Consider the following 7,918-nt stretch of genomic DNA (forward strand, 5'->3'; position numbering starts at 1 on the left):
GAAGTGTCCTTGGAGGTTGGGGGTGAACATTATATTGGTTCTCAAATAACTAGGACCTATTCTTTTTCAATAGCATAGAATAACATTCTTGTTCTAGAATAGTCTACAGGGTGTAGGCCAGCGTTTTCTAAATGGTGAGTGGTGATTTGCTAAGCTATTAATATTTAATATAAACTATTAAAATTAACTCATTACTAGTTCATTTTATTTGGTCTTTTCAAATTCGTGGGTTTTTTCCCCTCTGGTTTCTTAGCCAGATACTTAGTAATGAGAATTTGTAACCTATGTGTTTTGATGTTCATTATAAATCGTTTTTTTTTTAAATAGAGATGAGATCTTGCTATGTTGTCCAGGCTTGTCTCAAACTCCTGAGCTCAAATGATCCTCTCGCCTCTACCTCCTAAAGTGCTGGGATTACAGGCATGAACCACCACACCTGGCCATAATTGTTTCTTAATTTGTCTGTATATGATCTTTCTAGAATTCATTTGGTTGCTGCTTAAACTTTGCACCATGAAAGACCCCCTTTTTTTCCCCTAATAACCTTATACTTGCATACCAAGCTGTATTTAAAATAATGCATTGCTTTAAAACAATTAATTAAATCTATATTGAGCATCTTGTCCACATGAGAGGGAGAACACACATCCTGCACTGAGGCAAGCTAACTCCATTTCCAACCAGAGATTCCGAAGACTAGCTAAGGCCACCTCTTGAAGAGAGAGCGCAGGATTTCAATTAAGCTTTTATAAATAACATATGGGAATTACCTGGAAGACACTGCCCTCCCCTTCCCCATGGCTACCTTCCTAGGTGCCTAGAGACCTGGACACCCTAGGTTGGGATTTATTGATTTAGTTAAGGAGCAATTTAGGAAACCTTTTATTAACATACTCTCGTCATCAGCATCACTGTCACCTTTCCATCATTCTGAGTGATCACCACTCTACACTTATTGTTTGTTAGTGAATCTTTCATACTTAGATCACCTAAGGGGAAATGCTTGCTGGGCTCCTCCACAGACAGAAAATATGCAGAGGAATCATGGCACAACTTACATACATCAAAACAGCGCTCCTTTTAATTGATGGCCTATAGCTTAAGAGAGAGAGTTGGCTGGGCACGGTGGCTCACACCTGTAATCCCAGCACTTTGGGAGGCCGAGGCAGGCGGATCACAAGGTCAGGAGATCGAGACCATCCTGGCTAACATGGTGAAACCCCGTCTCTACTAAAAATACAAAAAATTAGCCGGGCGTGGTGGCGGGCGCCTGTAGTCCCAGCTACTCAGGAGGCTGAGGCAGGAGAATGGCGTGAACCCGGGAGGCGGTGCTTGCAGTGAGCCGAGATTGCGCCACTGCACTCCAGCCTGGGCGACAGAGTGAGACTCTGTCTCAAAAAAAAAAAAAAAAAGAAAGAAAAAAAAGAGAGTTTGCCTTCCCCAAACTATTATAAAACATTTTTAGATGATAAAGGGCATCAGATGCAGAAGATAAAATGTTTAACACATAGGACCTCATTCAGACCATGAATATAGAGCTATAGGTAGTTGTAAGCTCCTAGGAATATTTGATGGGAAATATATTGATAATACAATTATTCTTTTGAAAGGGACTGTAATGATGGCGAATTTCATTTAATAAATTAATAAGAACCATTTGATTCAAACATGAGCCTTTTAATGATACACAGAGTTAATAATATCTGTCTTGCCACCTAAAGAGGTTTTTTTTTTTTTTTTTTTTTCTGAGATGGAGTCTCGCTCTGTTGCCCAGGCTGGAGTGCAGTGGCACAATCTCAGCTCACTGCAAGCTCCACCTCCCAGGTTCACACCATTCTCCTGCCTCAACCTCCCGAGTAGCTGGGACTACAGGTGCCAGCCACCGTGCCCAGCTAATTTTTTGTATTTTTAGTAGAGACGGGGTTTCACTGTGTTAGCCAGGATGGTCTCAATCTCCTGACCTCATGATCCACCCGCCTCAGCCTCCCGAAGTGCTGGGATTACAGGCGTGAGCCACCATGCCCGGCCCTAAAGAGGTTTTAAAAGACTGCATCGAGCGATCCACAATTGAGCACCTATCTGCCGTTTATTTTTTATTTTTTGAGAAAAAGTCTTGCTCTGTCACCCAGGTTGGAGTGCAGTGGCACGATCTTGGCTCACTGCAACCTCCGCCTCCTGGGTTCAAGCGATTCCCCTGCCTCAGCCTCCTGAGTAGCTGGGACTATAGGTGCCCACCACCATGCTCGGCTAATTTTTGTATTTTTAGTAGAGACGGTGTTTCACCATGTTAGCCAGGATAGTCTCTATCTCCTGACCTCATGATCCACCCACCTCAGCCTCCAAAAGTGCTATCTGCCCTTTATTAATGCAATGTTGGTTTTTATATTAAAACACATTTAAGTGTAGTCTCTGAAAATATTAAAGAAAAACAAATGTAAAATAATGCTGCAATATCCTTATCTTATAGTTGTGAATAAAAATATATAATTTTCCAAAAAATATGACTTTTTCTTTTTTATTAAATTACATTAATAAATCATTTATTTTTGAGACAGAGCCTCATTCTGTCACCCAGGCTGGAGTGCAGTGGTGCGATCACGGCTCACTGCAGTCTTGACCTCCTGGGCTCAAGCGATTCTCCCACCTCCACCTCCCAAAGTGCTGGGATTGCAGGCATGAGCCACTGTGCCTGGCCAAAATGTGGCTTTTAAAATTTTAGGACTCCGTTGCAAAATAGAAATATAAATGACCAAATCTGTGTTAAAGAGTCTCAGAACAGGATCTTAGAAGTTAGTGATGTGTGCGAAGAAGGTGAGAACACGCATGTCTGTGTTTCCTATACAGCCTGGGCGTTGTGTCATTGCTGTGGGGAGAAGTGCAGCTTGGGAGAGGGAGCCTGGCTTTGAAGCCAGGCAGGTCTAGGTCCCAGTGGCTGTCACTGCAGGTTGTGATGGGACCTCGGACAAGCTCGCCAATCCTTCTTAGCATCAGTTTCCTTATCTTATCTGTAAATGGAGATGATATGTGTCAGTCCTAACGGGGATGCTGGGAACATTGAAAATACATCGGAACACCCAGCACATCATGAGAATGTACACTCGCTGGCTCACCTCGCTCTCCTGGCAGGATATGTTCTATTTTCTATGAATTTATTGTAGCTGATGGTGGTGGTGGGAATCTGTACGGGTATGTGTGCCTAAAAACTGAAATTGGAAACCAGAAGCTAAAGCTATTTGTCTTAACTCCACGCCAGACTGTGGTCAAAGCACATTGGTCAAAGCACATTGCCTCATCTACTCCTCATATTTCCATGAGTTGATTCTATAGTTGCCCCATTTTACAGATCAAGAGACTGAGGCTCAGAGAAATGAGATGACCTGTCTAAAATCACCTGCCTGGCTGGACGCGGTGACTCATGCCTGTAATCCAGCACTCTGGGAGGCCAAGGCAGCAGATCACTTGAGGTCAGGAGTTTGAGACCAGCCTGGTCAATATGGTGAAACCCTGTCTCTACTAAAAATACAAAAAAATTACCAGGGTGTGGTGGTGTGTGCCTGTAGTCCCAACTATTCAGGAGGCTGAGGCAGGAGAATTGCTTGAACCCAGGAGGCAGAGGTTGCAGTGAGCCGAGATCGCACCATTGCATTCCAACCTGGGTGACAGTGAGACTCCATCTCTAAATAAATAAATAAATACATTAATTAATTAATTTAAAAAATCACCCGCCTGGTAAAGTGATCACACGCAGTCTGCGCCTGACTTGCTGGTTTCTTTCAGGGCTGCTCAGGGTGAAGTGAGAATCACCTGGGGCTCAGGCGGGGCTTGGGAGGCACAGGTGCCTGGGCGGGGCGGTCTGCAGGGCTCTGCTCTCTGGAGGTCTAGCCACGTGTTCCTTGGCTTTTGGCTGCCGGAGTCCAGGGCTCGGCCCCTCCCATTCATTCTCCTGGGGGTCTCTGTGGTGAGCCTGCATCTCGGGCTGCTGACTGCTGAGATCCTGGAGGGAGGCATCTCCTGACGCTGCCCCCGGTCACTGCTTTCACCCTTTCCAACGCAGGCTTTTACTAACCACAGAAAGTCACAGGAAGCAGAGCAGGACCTGGCATTCCCTCAGAGGGAAGCGCTTGGAGGGGTGACTCGCCCAGAGCCACAGAGCTGGGGCAGCAGAGCCAGGATGAGGGCTCAAGTGTGTTTGACTGCAAAGCCAAGGTCCACAGCACGAGTCTGAGTCTCCTGCACAAGGAGGGCCCAGCCCCGAGAGAACAGGGCGCCTCAGCCCCAGCCCAACGACAACGGCCAACATCGACTGGCAGCTTACAGCAACCCAACACTGTTTGAAACACATGGCAGTGTCTTGTCTCGTCGGCTGCACAGTCGGCATTATTATCATCACCCCTGCTTCTCAGATGCACAAACAGAAGAGGAACTTGCCCAGGGCAGCAGAGTGTGTGGTGGCAAAGCCCAGGCTCACAGCCTGGGAGTCAGGGACCTCACTCTGCCGGGTGTCTGGAGTGTGACCCCAGCCAGGCGGCAGCTCCGTCATAGGCTGAGAAATGACAATGTGGGTGGCAGGCAAGGCCTCAGTGCTCAGCGCCCACAGGTGTCCGGGGGTGCTGACTGGGGCCGCAGGACCTGTGCCAGGCCCCACTGTCCAGGGCGGGGCTTCCTGTGGCCTCTCAGTCACACCTTGCTGTGCTCCAGGCCTGGCCAGGGCTGAGCCTTCAGCCTAACACCCTCCCCATGGATTAACCAAACACTAGGACCTCATTAAGGAGGCCCTGGGTACATCCCAAAGCCCCTTTCTGTCCATCTGCACGGGAATTCTCACCCCCTCCTCTGTCCTTGTGGATTCTAGATGAGGACAGCAGGTTTCCCTGTGGAAAGCCGCGGCCATCGCGATGAGGGCCTGAAAGAGCAGAGCCTGGGCTTGCAGGGCCATGGTGATAGAGATCCCTCGGTGGGACCTGGGCCCAGGACGTGGGGTGGGAGGCAGGAGTGAGCTGGCTGTGGAGATCAGGAGAGAAGCAGGGATGCTGAGAGCCCCAGGGCGGAGGAGAAATCAGAAGAGGAACTAGGACTTGGGGAGCACTGTCAAGGGGGGCAGGAGCTGGGGCCAGTTTTGTTGGGGGCCGGATTACTTTTCCCCTACCACTCCCAAATCCCTGCCCATCTACAATAGTCAGGCGGTGCTAGGCTCTGAAACAACTGTGGAGCAAATTGGAACATTTCCAGGGTGCTGGACAGACACCCAGGGCTTTGGGCTGACTCGGCCTCAGCCTGTGCAATAGGGGCACCTGTGGGTCCCTCTAAGAGTGGCGGGGCTGTGTCTGCTCTGCGACAGCTGGAGGACAGCATGGGGTAGTGCTGGTGTGGCCAGGCGAGGGGACAGCGCTAGGACCTCACAGGTGTAGGTGACACTGCCATCTCCGTCTTTCCAACTACTAGACAATGTTTCGTTAAGAACATTAATTTCCCAAGAGGTTTCTCTGTATTACTCTAATTGTTTTCTCCTTGACTAATTTTGTAAATTGCAATTTTACAAAACAAAAAACAAAAAAACCCCACAAATATTTCTAAATGAGAAGAGTCTCAGTGGGAATACAGCTTTCAGGAAGGTTTGTAATCTTTACATCTGGGTTATATAGTACCCTCCTATTGACACTACTTTTTGATTAATATTGTGTATAACATTCCTTAATGCATCTGCAGAATTAATTATGCAGAAACATTCAGGCACACAGACATTATATTGATGAAATAACGTTTTATTGACAAAATGACAGTTTAATACTGAGCTTTCCTGAAGCTATATATCTAATCGATTGCCTTGGTTCTGATAGCGAGGTAAATCTGTCCTGTCTACAGTGTACTCTCGGCAGATCAATCTGGGGCATGTGAGCCATGTACAGTATATTTCTGTACAGAATTCTGATTTTTAAATATTTTTTAATTTTGAGACAGGGTCTTGCTCTGTTGCCCAGGCTGGAGTGTAGTGATGTGATTATGGCTCACTGCAGCCTTGACCTCTTGAACTTAAGCAATTCTCCCACCTCAGCCTTCTGAGTAGCTGGGATACAGGTGTGCACCACCACACCCAGCTAAGTTTTTTATTTTTAGTAGAGACGGGGTTTCACCATGTTGACCAGGCTGGTTTCGAACTCCTGACCTCAAGTAATCTGCTTGCCTCGGCCTCCCAAAATGCTGGGATTACAGGTGTGAGCCACCGCACCCGGGCTTTATATAACCATTTTATTTCTTCATTCTTCAGTTGGTGGACAGTTGTATTGCTTCCATCTTTGGGTTACAATGAAAAACATTGCTATCAACATTCACGTGTGACTTTTGGGTGGACATACATTTTCATTTGTCTCAGGGTCATATGGTAATTCTATGTGTCACATTTCGATGAAGTGCAAAATATTGTCACCATTTTGTGTTGTCACTGGCAATGAGGGTTCTCCAGATCCTCACAATACCCTTGCGATCTGTGTTTCACTGTAGCCATCCTAGCAGGCATGACTTGGTTCTCGCTTTGGTTTCAATTTCATTTTCCTAGTGGCTGATGATGTTGAACATTCTGCGTGCTTATTGGCTATTTGTGGGTCTTCTTTGGAGAAATATCTATTCAGATCCTTGGCCTTTTTTATTTTTTTATTTTTTGGAGACGGAGTTTCGCTCTTGTTGCCCAGGCTGGAGTGCAATGGCACGATCTCGGCTTACTGCAACTTCTGCCTCCCTGGTTCAAGCGATTCTTCTGACTCAGCCTCCCGAGTAGCTGGGATTACAGGCATGCACCACCATGCTTGGCTAATTTTGTATTTTTAGTAGAGATGGAGTTTCTCTGTTGGTCAGGCTGGTCCTGGTGATCGGCCTGCCTCGGCCTCCCAAAGTCCTGGGATTACAGGCATGAGCCACTGCGCCTGGCCCTCCTTGGCCCATTTTTAATGGGTTTTAAAATTATTATAAGAGTTCTCCAGATGTTCTGGATACGAGTCCCTTGTCAGATACATTATTTGAAAATATTTTCTCCCACTGGAAGTGTTGTCTTTTTACTTTCTTTAGTTTATTTTTCTTCTGTCACTTATGCTTTTATTGTCATATCTAAGAAGGCTTTACCTATTTGTTGAATTTGTTGAATTGTCTTGATATCCTCACTGAAAATCAATTGACCATACGTGTGAGGGCTTGTTTCTAGACTCTCAATTCTATCCCATTGATCCATATAGCCATCCTTTGGCCAGTACCACACTGTCTTGATCACTGTAGCTTTGTAATATGTTTTAAAATTAGGAAGTGTAAGTCCTCCCATTTTGTCCTTCTTTTCTAAGATTATGTGGCCACTGGTAATCTTCCATACTCTTTTGGATCCACTCCATACAGTCTACCCCACCCCTTCCCTGAAATTCCTCTCATTATGATCTTAGAGACCGCTGTTTTGCTAAATCCAGTGGCCAGTTCTCAGTGTCAATATTACCAAAGCTCTTTGCAGCAGTTGACATAGTGGATGACTTCTTCTTTCTGGAGGTGCTCTCTTTATTTGGGATCCGGGGTATCCCCTTTTCAGGCTTTTTCTATTTTTCACTCACTGCTCCTTTGCAGCCCTCTTTTCTGGCTCCTCCCCATTTTCCCAAGCTTTGAGCTTTGGAATGTGCCCAGTCTCCATCCTTGAACCTCTTTGCTTCCTTGTGTCAAGTCTCTCCTGGGGGCCTTCACCGAGTCTCATGGCTTCGGATGTCTTCTACTTAGTGATAACTCCCAACTTTATATCTCCACCCTGGATTTCTCCTTTGGGTTTCTGACTCATGTGTCCAACTGACACTGACCTCTCCAGGTAGGTACCCTGTGGGCATTTCAAACTCAGAACATCCAAGAACAAGACTTTAGCCTCTTCTCTCATCAAGACGCACCTTTTCTCTTCCTC

This window comes from Homo sapiens, chromosome 7 (genome assembly GCF_000001405.40).
Source record: "Homo sapiens chromosome 7, GRCh38.p14 Primary Assembly".
Classification (NCBI taxonomy): domain Eukaryota; kingdom Metazoa; phylum Chordata; class Mammalia; order Primates; family Hominidae; genus Homo; species Homo sapiens.